Source organism: Homo sapiens, chromosome 15 (genome assembly GCF_000001405.40).
Source record: "Homo sapiens chromosome 15, GRCh38.p14 Primary Assembly".
Taxonomy (NCBI): Eukaryota; Metazoa; Chordata; class Mammalia; order Primates; family Hominidae; genus Homo; species Homo sapiens.
The window spans coordinates 58479020-58497760 of NC_000015.10; the positions used below are offsets into that span (position 1 = coordinate 58479020).

General features: G+C 45.5%; 1 protein-coding gene and 1 long non-coding RNA gene across 2 annotated transcripts in view; one reads left to right on the forward strand and one right to left on the reverse strand.

The window, feature by feature from the left end:
• Window positions 1–18741, forward strand: part of LIPC (lipase C, hepatic type) — a 137854-nt gene that overhangs the window by 47029 nt on the left and 72084 nt on the right. The gene's annotated exons all lie outside the window — the stretch shown is intronic.
• Window positions 1–18741, reverse strand: part of LIPC-AS1 (LIPC antisense RNA 1) — a 63835-nt gene that overhangs the window by 44119 nt on the left and 975 nt on the right. Inside the window, exon 2 of the long non-coding RNA NR_120338.1 lies at window positions 15754–15864. This is a non-coding gene — a long non-coding RNA (LIPC antisense RNA 1). The remainder of the gene's footprint in view (window positions 1–15753; window positions 15865–18741) is intronic.

The following is an 18741-nucleotide window of genomic DNA, read 5'->3' on the forward strand; positions in this document are numbered from 1 at the left end:
GAATTCCCACTTTCCAACCTAGAAGACAGTCTTCTATCGAGGACTGCTTTTCAGTCTCCTAGCTGCTGCTTTGTTCATTATTGCTCAGCAAACAGTGTGATTTATGCATGAGACACACACCTTAAGATGCAATGTAGTTCTTCCAACTGTCATAACTACTAAATTGAATTGAATGGCAATCTACTGGTAGCTCAACTTCTGCAGGAAAAAATAATCAGCCTGAAAATAATCAATGCAATAGCACTGTAGTGACACTGTCGAAAACTGTACAAACAGTAGGAAAGGTAATGTTGTGACTGTCATTTATTAATGCAGAGTTCTAGTGTTCCTAAGATAAAGATCATTGAAATGTGAAGCGCATTTGTCCAAACAGAATTTCTAATAAATACCTTTGATTGTTCCTTTGTCTCTATCCTTTACTAAAGTCAGGCAATTAGCAGTGTTTGCAATATTACAGGCAAATGAAATTGGGTCTCTGCCTGGTCCGCCTACAGAGGACTTCTATAGCAATAAAAATAATCAACTGGATTCTTCGTTTTCTGCTGGGTCCATGTGATTTCCTTAATAATGTCAATGCAGATTGTAATTTGTAGGAAAAAAATACTGCTTGCATCAGGCATGAAATTTAAGACCACAGAAATGCCATCTTTTCTTACAGAATTGTTTTGTTACAAGGGTATGTGGCTTGGACGATTAGAAGAGACCTCAGGTGTGGTGCCCAATTCATCTTTCATAGACCAATATTTTGTTTCCCAAATGTGCCTTGTACATTTCTCCAATACCTTCACTCTCTAGCTGTTGGTGAGGGAAAGGACAAAAATTAGAGTCATAAAATCACCATTAACCCCCCAGCTTGACCACTCACTAGCTAGTCATTTAGGCTCCGTGGGCCTCAGTTTGCTTCTCTGTAAAATGAGGCAGAAAACTATGAAAGTGCCTCCAATCTAAGTTCCCCAGGCTCCTAAGACAAGGCCTGGCCCATAGAAGGCACACAGTACATGTTGCTTGAGCAAATAAGTCAGTTTCTTGTATGGTATCTGGCATGTGATCAGCATAATTAATGGTTGCTTAAAAATTAACAGTCTGTTCCCCACCAGTAACATTCATCTTCTTCCTCTTGGCCTGGTGAAATCTTACGCATTCTTCAAAGCTAACATCACATTCTGCTTTGTCTGAGAAACCTTCCCAAGACCACACCAACTAGAAGTGATCTATCTCCCTAAACTCCTAAGACATGTGTTGTCCATAAGCTTCATTCATTCATTCATTCATTTTATGTATTTATTTATTTTCGAAATGGAGTCTCGCTTTGTCACCCAAGCTGGAGAGCAGCGGCGCAATCTCGGCTCACTGCAACCTCTGTTTCCTGGGTTCAAGCGATTCTCCTGCCTTGGCGTCTCAAGTAGATGGGATTACAGGTGCCTGCCACCACACCTGACTAATTTTTGTATTTTTAGTAGAGATGAGGTTTCACTATGTTGGCCAGGTTGATCCCAAACCCCTGACCTCAAGTGATCCGCCCCCACCTTGGCCTCCCAAAGTGCTGGGATTACAGGTGTGAGCCACTGTGCCCGGCCTATAAGTTTCATTTAAAACAAGCTTGTCCAACCTTCAGCCCAGGACTGCCTTGGTCCAGAAGCTTTGAATGCAGCCCAACACAAATTCATAAACTTTCTTGAAACGTTATGAGATTTTTTCATGATTTTCTTTTTGTAGCTTATCAGCTACCGTTAGTTTTAGTGTATTTTATGTGTGGCCCAAGACAATTCTTCTTCCAATGTGGCCCAGGGAAGCCAAAAGATTGGACTGTCCTGATTTAGAACTTGGGACTCATGGCCTTGTACTGTAGGTTCCCCTCTCAAAGGATTTCTTAGCTGTTCAGTTATGTCACAAGCTTCTCGGAGGCAGGTCCAGAGACTTCGGTTCCTGGTGATTTAAACAGCCCCTAGTCAAGAGCATGGCACACAACAGATGTTCCATAAGCATCCACAGATTGACTGGGGGAAATGTCCAATTCCCATGGAGATGGTCAGATGCCCTGGAGAGGCCACAGTGATTACAAGCCCTACAGCCCTCCATGGGATACACTGGGCCAAAGACACTGGTACAGAAGACTTGTCTTCTGTAGAAAGTTTGCTCCATTTCGCTAAATATCTTCCCATTTGTAAGGAAACTGATATCCTCATGACTTGTGGTGGGAGGGAAATTGTACAACCTCTTCAGGGGACAGAGTGACAATGACTCTCAAAGTTTAAATGCACATACAATTTTAAAAGATTAAAAAAACCATAAATGTCCTTTGACACAGTAATTGCACTTATAAATGTTTATCTCACAGACTGACCTACACATGTATGAGAAAAGTCATTGAGAAGATTCACTTTTGGGTTATCTGTAGTAGCAAAAGACTGGAAACAAATGTCTATCAACAGGTAACTGGATAAATAAATCAGGATATATCCATGTACAAGAACACTATGCAGCCTTTTAAAAGACTGAAGTTGGCCAGGCACGACAGCTCACACCTGTACTCCCAGCACTTTGAGACTGAGGCAGGCAGATCACCTGAGGTCAGGAGTTCAAGACCAGCTTGGCCAACATGGCGAAACCCCATCTCTTCTAAAAAAATATAAAAATTAGCCAGGCCTGGCACCTGTAACCCCAGCTACTCGAGAGGCTGAGGCAGGGAGAATTGCTTGAACCTGGGAGGCAGAGGTTACGGTGAGCCGAGATCGGGCCACTGCACTCCAGCCTGGCCAGCAGAGCGAGACTCCATCTCTAAATAAATAGATAGAATAAAGTAGAAATGTATGTACTTGTGTAGAATATTCTCCAAGATATAAGTGAAAAGACAAGGTGCCAACCAGTATGCATGGCTTCATCCAGCTTATGTAAAAAGGGAGATGTACACATGTGCACTTGTATGTGCCTATCCTGTCTCCAGAACAATAGCAACGGCTGACTTGGGGCAGCAGGGAAAGAGCCTGGGGTCAGAAGCAGGAGGAGACTTGTCACTATATTCGGTATTCTCATTCATATGGACTAAATTTTTTAGCAAGTGCATGCATTATCTTTCTTTTAAATTTTAACTTTATTTTTAATCAGATGATGAAGTCACATGCACAAAATCATGAAAGGTACAAAATGGTACATGGTAAAACGTCTTCCTCCCAGCCCTGTCCCCAGCCACCCAGTTTCCAGCCTAGAGACACCTAATAGGAACCCTTTCCTCTGCCCTTTTTAGAGACAGTCCATGCATTGCAGAGATTTTCTTTTAAAATAATCACAATGAAGTGAACTGGGAGAAAGCTTCCATTGACCTCACCACCCTCTCCAGCTCATGCTCTGTTCTCCAGAGCCAAGCTTTCACACAGGGTTGTCTACGTGTATGGAGTGGTGAAAAAGAGTTCCTTGGGCTTTGGAGTCAGACAAACCTGAGTCTTCAATAGTTGACCTAACCTCTCTAGGTCTTATGGCTTCATCCATAAAATGGACAATTCATACCTGGCTCTTAGGTTGTTATAAGGGTAAGAAACAGTCCATGAAAAGCATATGGGTCACTTAGCCACAGCCACTCTAAATTTCTGGGCACCAGCACCCTCCATGGCTGGGACCAATCCTCACTGAGCAGTGTTCCTGGGCACAGCCAGAGACCCCAAGACCCCTGGATGTCCCCCTAATCCCCTGAGAAGTACATCCTGTATTTCTGAGGTAACATTTTACGGTAAACTTCTACAGCAAGCAAAAAACCTTAAGGAGCTCATGATCAAGACCAGTCCTCCCTGGGTTTGGGGGCTTTTGAAAGGGCCCAGGTTTAGACATCAGGAAACCTGTATTTGAGGCCTGACTCTGCCATTAACTGAGCCTCCTGGAGTGATTCGCTTCTCATCCCAAGCCTTGCACAGACTGGGTGGTGATTCCTGAGGCCCAGAACCTGGCCAGCCTTATAGCGTCAGTCAGGGATGTGTTAGTGGAGCCCTTCACTCAGCGAAAGCATAGCTGGCTGAGTCTCTAGACAGAGAGTGTGTTGTTCAGGCTAAACTATCTCCCTACCATGGACATAAAATGACATGGGTATAGAACACACTAAATTCTTCAAGGTAACAAATTTAAATTCTTCAAAAAGGGAGTGGCTATTTAAAATATCTCTAGTTCATTTTTAGCATTACTGAAATTCAATGTAAATCACAGTGGCCATATAGAGTTGACATATAACCCTCCCTCTGTCAAACACCAGGTTACTAAAGTCACAGGGATTAAGAAATGACCCTTGGTAACAAAAGTTACCAATGTAGACCAGTTATGTGGCAGGTGGGGAGAGCTATTCTAAGGTTCCTTCTAACTCCAAGGGGCTCAGATCGGATATTTGGCAAGTAAGCAATTGGCACACTGACCCTGCAGTTTACAAAGTGATTCCTACGATCCTGAGGGTAGAAGAAGATTTTGCTCCTGGCAGAGGTTTTGCAGGATGTGGGTGGGGTTGGAGAGGAGGCTGCTGTGAGGGTAGAAGGGGGTAACCTCTGTCCCTTCACCATGTTTATCTTGCCATATCACCATCCAGCATTCACAGTCCATTGCCCAAAATAAACCACAGATACAAAGTAGAAAGATACTTCATCTATTTTCTAAGTAAATCTAGGAAGTTAAAGATCACAGCTGTCTCCAAGACCATGCCCGTTGAGTAAAAATATCTCTTGGCAAGTTGTCCTACATCAATTTTTTTTAATGAGACCTCTTTTTTCCTACCTAGTATTGATAATTTAATAGCTCTGCAAAAAGTGCTTCTGAAGCAAGAAAACTTAGTATTTTCTAATTTATTCTCTGGGAGATTTGACTGCTAATCAAATATCTTAATTCCCTCCATACTTAAAGGGGGCATTTTAAAGTGACTTTCCCAGCCGTTCCAAATTACTTCTTGAGGTTTATTGTTTGCTTTTAAATTTATGTCCAACATGGGCTCTCTTCTTGGGGACTGAGCTGTTTCAGAAAATGATGGAAATTTGGGGTGAATCTACCAACAGTGTTCAGTCTTTCCAAAAAGACAGTTCATTAAAAGCTGAAAGGTTTGACCCTCTGGCTCTATCTTTTTGGCCTAACATCCTAACACAGGTGTGGACAGGGTCAAGCATGCAGGCCTGTCTCTGATACCTGGTTATAGCAAGGCTGTCCTTGGCATTTCACCTCCACCTCTTCTGCATCATACATTGTTTATTTTCACCTCATTATTCCATTCCTACTCCATTTGGTGATAATCCACTGTGTGCTAGGCACCCTTCTGGGCACCAGCATATAGAAAAATGCCTTAGCATTCGTCCCTGCCCTCAAAAGGGCCTTGGGATCAAGAAGAAGTGGACACGAGCACATCTGACTAAACACAACATCATGGAGGGTGTATCCAGGATATGAGCAAAATGCTCAGAGACAACTCTTTTTATTTACGTCACAAATGCTTCTACAGCACCTACTATGGGCCAGGCATCATGCTAATAAGGGCTTTACCAATATTAATTCATTTAATCCTCACAGCAACCCACTGAGATGAATACTATTCTTATCCTTTGGTACTGTGGGGAAACTGAGGCACAGAGCAGGGAAATAACTTGCCCAAGGTTACACAGCCAGTCAGCTCCAGGTGGGGCTCATGGGGCATGGGCCCTGGAGCCCACACACTCTGACTCCAGGGCCCACACTCCTACCGTCGGGCCACACTGCCTCACAACACACTTTCTCGCCAAATTCAGAGACACATAACTAAAACCACTTACAAATGGAGTATGCCAACTGAGAATGCTACAGAACACATTGAGGAAGTGACATTTACACTAAAATCTGAATGATGAACAGGAGTTAACTAGACTAACAGGGGAGGAAGTGGGTTGCAAGCCGTGGTTCTGGGTGGGGAAGGAGTGCAATGTGTTCCAGGAACTCACCAAGGCCACCAGAAAAGGAGGGTGGAAAAGAAGGAAGAAAACAGCTCAAGAAGAGGCTAAAACATGAGCAGCAACCATAGCATTCAGCACCCTCACTACAGGCCAAGGGTCATTCCGTAGTTGGGTTCCGCAAGAATGATAGGAACCTAACAGCTTTGGCAGGGGTAATAGCATCAGTTATGCATCATCCACTGATCACTTGGGCTGACATGTAGAATGCATTGGAAGAGGACGGCGGGGTTAAGCAGGGAGACCCCGGGGGAGGCAGCAGCAAGGAGAGAGTTGATACTCCCTTGGATGGGCTGGAGGTGGATAAAAATGGATTCAAGTGAGTTTTAGGAGACAGTATCAACATGTTATGCTGCATGTTTGCTTATGATGGGTGAGGAGAGGGAGGAGTCAATGGTGGCTCTGAAGATTCTAGGTATTCACAGGGTCGGGAAGCACTTGTTTGTCACAGGTTTGTTGGGTGCCGGAGGGGAAGAAAGTCCCGTGCAACAGCCACATGCAATGTTCATCACTCCCCTGGCTCTCAGGCTGCTTCAGGGCTCCAGACCCTCGCACGTGCTGATCTCGGGCTAAGGGCTGTTTCCTTCCTTCGACTGAAGACCTTTCATACTGTAAGATTCAGCTTGAAAGTCTCTCCCTCCATACACATCACACGCTGACACTGGACCAGGCACTTATTTGGATCTCACAACATCTCTGCAAAGAAGATATTGCTATGCCTGTTTTACAGACTACTGAGAATCAGAGAAGTTCCAAAGCTGCCCTGTCATTTGTGGCATAAGCGAGAGAGCCCACTGACATCCCAGCGCTGCCTTCCCAGCCACACTGAGGGAGAGGTGGGCTTGGCCCTTGAGGCCCCTTCTTCTCAAAGGCATTGAGGTTACTTTCCATGTAGATTACGGTTGAGAACAATGAGAACTTCTGGAGCACATTCTGTGGGCTGTGTGAGGACGTCGGCAAGGGAACAGACTAAGATGGCTAGAAAATGCCCCTCTTTCATCTCTAGAATTCATCTAGTGAAGCACTTCCCAAGCCTCAGGTATCCAGGGTCTCCCTGTTCTTCCTAGAAGTAGGTTCCAGTGAACAGAAAGCCCACAGCATAACTAAGAAAAAGCTGTGTGTCTCTACCATGCTGGTGAATCCATGCTGCTCCTTGACCTGCCACTCCTTGACATGGACGGCTCTATTCTAACAGTGCCACTCTCTCATGTCACTGTCCCTCTGCCTGGTTCCTCCTCCTCTCTTATCTGCCTGGAGAGTCCCACTCCTTGGATGAGTCTCACCCAGAGCATCCCTCCCCCATCTCCTCAGGCTGGGTGTAGGGTGACCAGCTGTCCTAGTATGACTGGGCCTAACGGATGTTCTGGTTTGTGGGACTTTGGGTAGTATATCAGCTCAATCCCATGCAAACCAGGATGGTTGGTCACCCTAGTTAGGCATGTGGATTGCCCCTGCTTATGGCAAGCCCAGCAAGTATCCAAGCTGTCTTGCACTCATTGGTTCTCTCCTCTGCTCTTTCCCCAAAAGTAGTTATGACCCTCTGAGATGAAGCCCTGTGCCTTGTTCATCACTGTATTCTCAACATCTAGGCCTGGTACAGACCAGGTTGTGTGGTCAATGTTTGTGCAATGAACGTACGAGCCCAGACTCAGCATATTTAGGAGATGGCTCCTACCACCCAGCAATTAGAGAGGGGAGGCAACGCAGGCGGAGGACATCTACCAATGCAGCACATGAGCAAGACACAGGGCCTGAGAATAACTGAACCCTGGCCCACAGATGCCAAAGAACTGGTTTTGCTTGTTTGTTTCATTTGCCAGTCAGAAGCGTGGGGGATAATTTAGTGGAATCCCTTCACAGATAGGTTTTAACTTGAAATAATTCAACTATAGGTGCTTGGCAAACAATCAAATAGTGAACAGGCCCAAGAGAGAAGGAAATAATTTAGATGGCAGATGGCAGTTGGCTCCACTAGAAGTGCCACCTGGTGAGCACGGGCCCACAGTGGGTGTGAGGCGGGACAACGGGGGCACACTTCCCTCCTGCGTGTGTACCTCACACTGTGCTAGGATGATTATGGTTCTGGCATACAAAGTCACTTATTTTTCATGCAACCTGGTCCCTAAACTTAAGAAAATGCCTTTATCTGGTAATCAACTGGGAAAAACATTGGCTGAACCCCATACTTTCAAGTACTTATGAGATTTTCAAAGGTGGTTCTTACACACTAACTTAAGAGTCCCCAGATGGTGAGTCCCAGCTGCGCCACTTCATAACTAAATGATCTTAAGTAGCTAATGACTTAACCTTGTAGAGCTTCCATTCTCATGGGCAAATGAAGGATAACATCTCTCCCTCATGGGCTCACAGTGAGGATTAAACGAAGGGAAGGTATGCACAACAGTTAGCAGACTGCTTGGTACAAAGTAAGCGCTCAATAAACCAAAGCTATTATTTTTAGTGGTGGTAATAGCACTGCTTTTCTTTGGCATTTAAAGCTGTGTAGCTAATCTGGGCATTCCACCAGGTTGCTGAAGCAATAGACGGCCCCTTAATAAATAGCTTCCAGACAGCATGTCATTTAAAACTGAATGCATTTTTGCTTCTCAGTTGTTGGACATATTATTTACTACCTGATGGTCTTGCTCTGGCCCAAACAAGCTAATTATTGCAATTCCAGAGTACATGCCATCATCCAGAAATAGCTTTCTGTAGAGTGGGGACTGAAATTAACAGGCAATTAGCAAGTTTAAAAGGATTTCCTTTCCCCATCCCCACCCCTGGCACCTCTAACACATTAAAGCTCATCACAGCAGTTATTTTAAGGAAATTCAGCAGAGGTACTTGCAGGGCCCGAGGTCATCTTGTGTTGGCCCTGGATAGATCATGAAATCCTGTTGCCAAGGAGCATGGTGGGAATGTGGCAGGAAGGCTAAAGTCAGGAAAGCCACCTCAGCCACTAAGTAGCCATATGGCCTGGGGCAAGCCACTACTCAACTCTGAGCTTCAGTTTCTTCATCAGTAAGGAAGTGGCCAGGCACGGTAGCTCACACCTGTAATCCAGAACTTGGGGAGGCCAAGGCCAGTGGATCCCTCGAGGTCAGGAGGTCAAGGCCAGTCTGGCCAACATGGAAAACCCCCATTTCTACTAAAACTACAAAAATTAGCCGGGCATGGTAGCAAACACCTGTAATCCCAGCTACTCAGGAGGCTGAGGCAGGAGGATGGCTTGAATCCAAGAGGCGGAGGTGGCATGAGCCAAGATCATGCCACTACTCCCAAGCCTGGGCAATGGAGACTCCATCTCAATAAATAAAGTTAAGAAGTTAGACTGCTCAATTCCTGAGACTCCTTCCAACCCAGCAATCTGACGTCCACACTGGGGCTGACCACTGAACTACATGGAGGCACATGCCTCAGTTTCCTTATCTACGCCATTCATCTAACAGCTATGTATCAATCCCTGTTAGGCACTAGGCACTGTGCTAGGTGTTTGGAAGAGTCATTCTCAGGCCTATCCTATCTCAGCAACCTGTAGGAATGTCCTCACCTCCAGAGTTAGCCCCCTTGGAAGGAAAATATTTAGTCCCACATTCATTTCTTTCCTATATGAACCTGGAATCACTGGGGGCAGCCTCTCTGAACTGCCCCATTTTCTGAAAAGTGTCCGAAGTACAGCCCAGGCATGGGGCATTCAGCACAAAGGGCCCAAGTCTTGAGAGGGAGTAGTTTAGGAGTGAAGAAATCCCAGCCTCCCACTATCCAGTCTTAAGGTAAAAAGAATTGTACAGATGAGCACCTTTCTTCCCCTTGGTATTTCCCTTTGGCATGACCCAAAGACCACTCCCATAAAGGGCCATACCCTAGTGTTTTCTGACAATCTAGGGATGAATTCCCTATTACATCTCAGGATGGGAGAAAAACAGGATTTGGGAGTTCTGGTTTAATCACTAAATGAACTTAATCTTGACTTCTGGTTTTGTCATCTGCAAAAGGCAAGTGGTCCTGATGGCTACTTAATAAAGCTGTCTGTGAGCCAAATGAGAGTGTGCATCTGCAAGTGCATTGTAAACTGCAAAAATAATTGTGGTTCTCTCTGGGCCGCCTTCTACTTCACAACAATACTGAGCTGACCTTACAGATAAGCTGAACAGATGGTTGCCTCCATGGTAGTATTTGAATAGCACCAGAAAGTTTCACCTCTCCAAAGCATCTTTCTGCTGGCCTGAAATTCAACCATTAGGGATTCATTTTGTTGCGGGGGCGGGGGGGCGGCTTACAAGCTTCCCAGGGTTCAGGAGCACTCTATTAAATAGCTGTTGTAATCACCCAGCAGGTTCTTCCTATTCGCTGCATAGACAAAACCAGTTCACCAAGACCACGCTATTGTAGTAGAGTTTAACACAAAGCCAGCTACGCAGAAGACAGTTATTACTCCAATCAGTCTCCCTGAATGCTCAGCGGTTAGGGTTTTTCAAGGATAGTTTGATGTACAGGGGATTAGGGAATGGGTGCTGCAGATTGGTTGGGGATGAAATCATAGGGTTATGGAAAACGGTCCTTGTGCACTCAGTTGGCCTCTGGGTGGGGGCCCCAAGACTGGCTGAGTCATGAGCCTCAAGTCCGGATGTAGTCAGTCTAAAAAACAACTCAAAAGATCCATCTTAGGCTCTACAATAGTGATGTTATCTACAGAAGCAATTAGGCAAGTCACAAATCTTGTGACCTCTGGCCACATGACCCCTGAGCAGTAAGGGATGATAGAAAATTTGCCTATATCTTAGCAGAATTCAGGCCCCTTTCATAATCCTGACCTTCTGGCCTTTCACTGGTTTTGCAAAAGTGGTTGAGTTTGGGGAGTGGCTATTATCCTTGCTGTAAGGTTCAACTATAAACTAAATTCCTCCCAAAGTTAGCTTGGCCTACACCTAGGAATGACCAAGGACAGCTTGGAGGTTAAAAGCAAGATGGAGTCAACTATGTCAGATTTCTCTGTCATCATTTCACAAAGGCAGTTTCACTGTGACCTGCTAATACTGTGGGGAAAAGAAAAAAACAGTACTCATTGGGCCTTAGGCATATTCTAGGTTCTTTGCAATACTTAATTTTGTTTTTAATCTCAAACCAGTCTGAGACAGGATTTACTATTCAGCACATTTTTGAAACTGGGAAAATGAGTCTCGAGATGTTTAGGAAACTTGCTAAAAGGTCACATGAGTGACAGGGTTAGGACTTAAACATGCGTGGGGTCGGGAAGATGGCAGGCACAGGGTATCAGGCCAGGGGAGATGCCCTAGAGCCAGCGACACTCAGCCTACTTAACTTCTTCTAAGAGCCGGTCACCTCCATAAGGACAGCCAGAGCTTCTGCCAGGAAAGAAAGAACGTTGATGCTATTCGTTTTCCAAAAGAGCGTATCTCCTCCGGCTAATCTGAACATATTTCTTACAGGGCTCTTGAATGCCCCTTTGTAGCTGAGTGGGTGAAACGGCATCACCAACATTTGGCCCTGCTGCTCCACTGAGAGCCGGCGCCGTTCGCGGGATAATTATCCTGTAGTCTTCTCACCTCCGGAGAGAATGCAAGGCGCCCTCCTTCCAAATCTGGCCCGTCACGCCAGCACCACTTATTTTTAGAAGCTGTTTTCCCCTCATAGTTTCACAACCTCTAATCTGCCACTCTCCAGTGAATATAAATTAAAACACAACAATGAAATATGGAGAAATGTTTTCTCCCGTCATCTCCAGCTCTCTGAACCCGGGGCTGGGAGTGGGTGGAGCGCCTGATTTGTCTCCCAGGCGACACGGAAAGGGAGGCAGTGAGACGTGCTACCTGGTCGCTTCCGGCTCTGATGAACCACTGCCAGCCAGTTATTAGGGAGGAGGGCAGCACTTGCAAAAATTTCAGGTCTCTGAGAGCCCAGAGCCTGAGAAGTGTGGAGGATACTAATTACACCCAGGTGGAAGCCTGGCCACAGCTCACCTCCTAAGGAAAGAGCGAGCCCATTAAATAGCCAGGAAGGAATGGAGTTCACAGGGGATTAGATTTCTAGATTATAGCCTCAGAGTCATTCTCAAATTTATCTCCTAAAATCTGGAGGTCAAGGAACAAAAGCACCCTTGAAGAACAGGTAAAGGGAGCCTGGTCTGAATTCTTAGCTCCTGACAGCCAGGCCGCAAGAGGACAGACATCCCGTGCACACACGCCCGCCCCATCGCCAAAGAAAGCTCTAGAGCTAGACACTTAGACTGGCCTTTCATGAAATGACAGCACCTGCCAAACACAATAGGGAAATAGTTAGTCCAGCCAGGCAGTGCCATAGAGTGGTCAGAGCATGGGAATTTCAAGCAGACAGCAGCAGGCTTTAATCCTCACTCTACTCTCCCCAGATGTGTCACCAAGGCAAGTCACTCAGCTTCTCTGAGGCTCAGTTTCCTGGCCTGTAGAGTGGGAATAATTATAATACTATCTTGGTTGTCAGGTTTAAAAGACCAAATGAATGTCACTGCCTGGCAGACTACTTAAAACAATAAGAGGTGCTAAAGTTACTTTAAACCAACCCTCTCCACCCTCTCCTTCCCCACCTCAGTTTCATACCCCAGAGACCAAATTCCTGATGGATTCCTAAATGATATCTCTGCCAAATACTGGTGCCAGGTGCTGGGCAAGGCACAGTTTTGCAACCAGCTGTCAGGCAGCAACAACTTCACAGTCGTACTTTTATTCAGTGTGTGGTAAAACTTCTGGGACAAGAGTCAAAGTCGTAGGGCTTTAGTGGGAAACTGCCATTGCCTGACCAGAGGTACAAAGCACTGGCCCTTCCCTCATCCCTGGCCTGACCTAAGAGGGCTGGGGTACCACAGGACTGTTGACCCCACTGAGAGCTCAGGGTGCCAGAAACACTGCCTGCCACGTGATTCCTATTGGTCCTTCCAGAGATGCTAACAGGCCTGGAGGCTGGAGGTCTCTCTGCCCACACTTTCACACATGACCTGGAGCAGGGGGTCCCAGCTCTGTAGCTGCATTTCTGACCCAGTTGGATACCTTGACATGGTCCCAGCAAGCAACAGAGCACCCATTGTACAGCCTTCCCCAGCCCCAGAGAGGGACTGTCCCTGCCAAGAACAGAGGTGCCACCCAGAATCTGACAGCAGGGGAGGCTCCCCAAGCATTCTACCCAGAAGAACAAGCACCCTCCCCAGATGGCCTGTGGCCCACCCTGCCCTCAGTTCCTAGCAGATCCTCAACTTGGCCTGCTTTGATGTTTGTGAATGGCAGGTAGGAAAGGTCAGGCAAGTGGAAGAAACCTAAAACCATGCTCTCTATGGCCATGGAAGCTTCCTAGGTATTATTACATAGCTGTAGTATATTAATATTACTGTCATTAATTGATATTATTGTAATGTTACTATAATATACATAGCCATAATATAAACACATTATAAAGCTGTAATAGCTTATCTTTATTCTACTATGTGGCAAGTCTGTACTAAGCATTCTCCTACTCTAAACCCCCACAAAAGTATTAGCTATGAACTATCATTGAATTTCGTTTTACAAACAAGGACAATCCAAAGAGGCCAAGTTACCTGCCCAAGGCCACACAGTCCACAAGAGCCCAAGTTCCCACTCAGGCCCATTCTTTTAGCTCTGTGCCACCCAGCTCTGCAAATGTAGCCACCCAAAGCCAATCAAGCCAGTGGTAGAGTTCTAAAACCAAATCTAGGGCTCTGTCCCACCAATCTCCACCTGGTGCCTGGAATTCCTCTATTTTTGTTTTTTGTTCTGTTTTGTTTTAAAGTTTCACTCACCCCCCTCCTTAAACCCAAATATCCCTGGGACAGGATGGAAATCCATAAACAGGTGCCTGAGTAAGACATCATTCACAGAGCCTTTTCCTCCTGACAGCTGGCCAAGAACAGGAGAGGGGGCCCTGGGCAAATCTGCAGGATTACATCAGAGCTTATTTTCCCCCGTATGCCCCTAATTTTCTACATGCTCTTCCATTCCTGATGGATTCCTAAATGATATCTCTGCTAAATCCTGGCGCCAGGTGCTCTTCCATTCTCCCAGTGATCCAGAACTTTCTTGCTGTCATGAAGAAAACTGATTTAATAAGTAAACTCATACTTAGGAAGCTTCCCATCCACCCTGGCCCCCCATGGTATCTCACATCATCATCAGACCAAAAGAACCCATACCCTCATCAGTGATGACTCAGCAAAATCAACTTCACATGATTAGGAAGCTCACATAACTAGCAAGGCGAGGAGGTTCTCTCTGCCGGCCACCTCCTCCCGCCAGCACTCCACCACAGCCTGCCTACTGTCTGCCCGTTTGGACTAGCAGCTGGTGCTGTGGGATCTTTAACTCCACTGAAATTATGTCACAAAACTGGGGCATCGTAGGGAACCTAGGAAAACAGACAAGAAATAAAGACTCCATATGTGCCTGGCCCACACCCGAGTTTGGCTCACTATGCACACATTAGATCCTGCCATTCACAATTTAAAATATATATATATTTTTTTGTGTATATATACATATATACACACCTAGAAAAAAAGTATGTATTTTGTATATATACAAAATTTATTACATATAAATAAAATTTATACAAAATTTATTACGTATAAATAAAATTTATACAAAATTTATTACGTATAAATAAAATTTATACAAAATTTATTACGTATAAATAAAATTTATACAAAATTTATTACGTATAAATAAAATTTATACAAAATTTTGTATATATTTGTATATGTGAAATATTTTTTAAATGTTAATATATCTATAATATTTATATATTTGAATATATAAGTTTATATATATTTATATGGCTCACTATAAAAGAAATTGAAACCTCCTTAAGCATGAACAACTCCCACGGGTGTTTTCTTCATGAGACGCACAGGAAGATGGCAATGGGTACTGAAAGGAATGAATTGCTTGTGGGGGAACTTTATTTACTAGAACAACCCCAGGTAGGAGGAGAGGTTTTAAGAAATGAGAGTAGGGGTTCTGGAGGAGGTCACCTTGCCTCCTAGTACAGAGGTAAGACTCCACTGAGGCTGGAGAATAATGCTCATGAGGAGATTGGCAGGCCCCAGATCCCTGCAGCTACTGGGACAGAGGCTTCAGTTCCTTGCCATGGGGGCCTCTCCCTAAAGCTGCTCACAACATGGCAGTTGGCTTCTCCCACAGCAAGAGAGAGAATCCCCAGAGAGAGCAAGAGGCTCCACAATGGAAGGCCTAGTCTTTCACAATCTAATCCCAGCAGTGACATACCCATCACTTCTGCTCTGTTATTGGTCAGACCAACCCTGGTGCAATGTGGGAGAGGACCACACAGGGTACAAATCCTGGGAGGCAGGGGCCCTTGGGCCATTTGAAGGGTGGTTACTCCAGCAGGTACAGAGTATGGTGAGCCCACATGAGGAGGTGCCCAGATTGCAGCCATAGATCCTTGGGCAGGTCATCCAACCTCATTTACGCTGTTTGCACTTACAGAAAATGAGAATAATAGACTCGTCAGGGCTTGGCAATGCCTATGAAAGTGCATTGAACAAAGGGAAGTATGCTGCAGATATAAGACAACATGGTTTTGATTGTAATTACTAGTACCAGTAGCACATAGTTGTGAGGACTCCTATTCTGTTGAGCTAACAGCCCTGACCCACCTGTATCAATCAGTGCCAATGTATATTTCACATTGCCAATACCCAGCGTCAGATAATGAAGTTTTGCAAAATACAGCTTGGGTGGGATCTCTTTAATGACCTGTTAAAACTGATTTATAGTTAGCTTTTTACCTGAATGCACATAAGGAATCTGGAGTTCTTGCTAGTTCTTGCTTGGAAATGATCTGTTTCTTCATCTGAATGTCCTCCCTTCATCTGATTTCCTTAGCAACCCTGGTTTTTCTGTTTTGATTGACAATACAAAATTAAATATTAGTCCAGTCCCTCACTGGGCTATCACAGGTTCCAAAACACCCAGCCCTCATGTCATTGATCCAACATCAACCGTTCCACCGGTCCTTCCCTCCCCTGCCCCCTTACCCTGCCCTAAGGGCTCTCAAGACAGACCTGTTTAACTCTGGGCATTTAGAACACAGAAGACTTTCTCACCAGGGAATCTCTCTTTCTAAAATCCCCACAGAGCTGGTCAAGCAAGAAGAGCACTGGACTACGCATCAAGACCTGGGGTGCTGATCCCGACTCTCATCCTTGACTGCAGTGTGGGCTGGGCAGGTCACTTCACTGCTCTGAGCGATTTAGTTCTGGTTTTGAAAGACTGGGTGATTCTACCCATTATTCACTGAGCACCTCTGGGCCTTCTATTATGGCCTCCTCCCTTTCCTGCCCTGCAGCTCCCTGCCAAAAACAAAGCCTATGCAACCTTCGTAGATACTCTTCATAGAATCTGTTTCTCTCCCTGTGGGCTCTTTCCTTCTGAGCACTGGCAGGACTTAACCATATGCTCTAGGCATTGGGTGTGAAACCAGCAAGGCTTGGTGCTGGAAATTTAGCCTCATCTTCCCAACCACCATAGCTAACTCTTGTCAAGTACTTGCTCTGTGTGCCAGGCACTGTTCTACCTCATTAAAACTTCACAGCAACGCTGAAGTGGCTATTATCATCTTCATTTTATAGATGAGGAAATTGAGGCTCAGAGAGAGTAAGTAACTTATTCAAAGTCACCCAGCCCACATGAGGCAGAGCCAGGATTCATGCCCAAGCAGTCCAGAACCCAAGCACGCTGTCTTGGGACTGGATTTTCTTTCCCCATGAAGAATGTAAATTTCTTAATCACAGGCCCTGTTTATTTTACACACAGTCAGCATCTACAAGTCTTTGTTAACTGATTACAGGTTTCTGTAATTCTAGGCATGTTAAGCGTAGGGTCAAGCATAAACTCTGTCCCTACCTTTCCAGAACATATGCTCTGATATATTATAGCAGACAAATGCAAAATTTCCAAGACTCGTGGGATTTAGAAGGGATTTTTCTCAACTCTTCTTTTCCAGATAAGAAAAGGGAAGCTTGAGGAGATTAAGTTACTTCTGACCACATAGCTCCCTGCTGCAGAACCAGGACAGAAACCCAAGCCTTCTCATCCCTATCACGAGTTGGATCTAGGGCAGTGGTTCTCAGTGGTTCTCAACTGGGATGGTTTCGCTCCCTCACCCCATGGGACATTTGGCAATATCTGGGGGCATCTTTGCTTGGCACAGCTGGAGAAGAGGATGTTACTGGTATCTAGTGAGAAGCCAGGGGTGCTGTTAAACATCCTACAATGCACCAGACAGCCTTCACAGTAGAATCATGTGGCCCAAAATGTCAATAGTTCTGAAGTTGAGAGATCCATTCTGTGGGATTTACCACTTCCTCTAAGGCTCTTTGTTTCTGTATCTTTACAAGCAGTCATCTACAGTTGGACACCTTGTCTTATTCATCCTTGGCTCCAGTGCTCAGAGAAGTGCCTGGCACGTAATAAAAGCTCATTGAACAAGGGAGGGAAGGAGAGAGGGAGAAAAGGAAGGGAAAGAATGACAGAAAAAGATATCAGGCTTTCCTGGCAGGCAAAGAAAGTCCAACACTATAAATCAAGACCTCTGTTCATAAAACAGAAGATGTCTGACTGTTTGAAATCAATTCTTGTATATCATTCCAGAGAGAAGACTAACTCCGAATACCTTAATTATGCGTTAGCACAATTTAGACGAATACTCACAAAATTAAGCAGAGAACCCAAGCCCTGCTACAGAAGTCTTCCCCCTCAAAAAAAAAAAAAAAAATTAAGATGGAGTCTCCCTCTGTCACCCAGGCTGGAGTGCAGTGGTTCAATCTCTCCAGGGATTACAGGTCTGCGCCACTGCACCCGGCTCATTTTTGTATTTTTAGTAGAGATAGGGTTTCACTATGTTGGCCAGGCTGGTCTCCAACCCCTGACCTCAGGTTATCCACCCGCCTCAGCCTCCCAAAGTGCTGGGATTACAGGCATAAGCCACCGCGCCCGGCCCTTTTAAAGTAAATCTTGATTGATGGACATGATGAAGTCCGTGAGGTACAAATGCACTGCCTTTTACAAAAGTAACTGGTTCCTTGGAGGTGTCCATTGGGAAGATGGCAGTAGTTAGAGCTGCCACTGAGGAAGACATAATAGGCAGCTCTCATTCCAAGGCAGCTGAGCCACGAAGAAGGCTGGCCTGAGTGGTCAGTGTGCAGTAAATCCAAATCTTTAAATGCAGTTCATGCTTCACCCCCGACCGAATGACAAATGGCTCCCCCGTCAGAGCAAGCTGGCAGGTGATGCACCACTCCTCCCCTCCCCTGCCACCCGTGGTGGGACAATCTGTCAGCAGCCACTAATTCTCAGGAATGGATGGGGAAGTGGGGGAAGTCAGGCTGTGTTTATTGGGCAAGGAGAAGGGGTCTCTGAGCCCAAAGACCTTCTTGGGAAATGCAGCTCCTGCCCTCCACAGCAAATAATGCTCAATGACCAGTCAGGGAGAGCTTGTCTGGGCTCTCTTCAAGCTATGGGGAGCATCTAGAAAATGCCTTGAAACCGTCAGATGGAAACATCCTCTCATCTTCCTCCCTCCTGGAAGCAATGTGCTCCGCCGCTCTTCCAAACCCTTCCTGTCTCTACTGGTACACCTCTCCAAAGCCCTCTGGATACCTCCCATGATATGCCTTTCCCAGGCTCCAGGTCAGCACAATGCTCTCCCCACTCTATTCCCCAAATGCATACCTGTCTCCATCGCAGACACCTTCACATGCCTGGCTGGCAGGAGC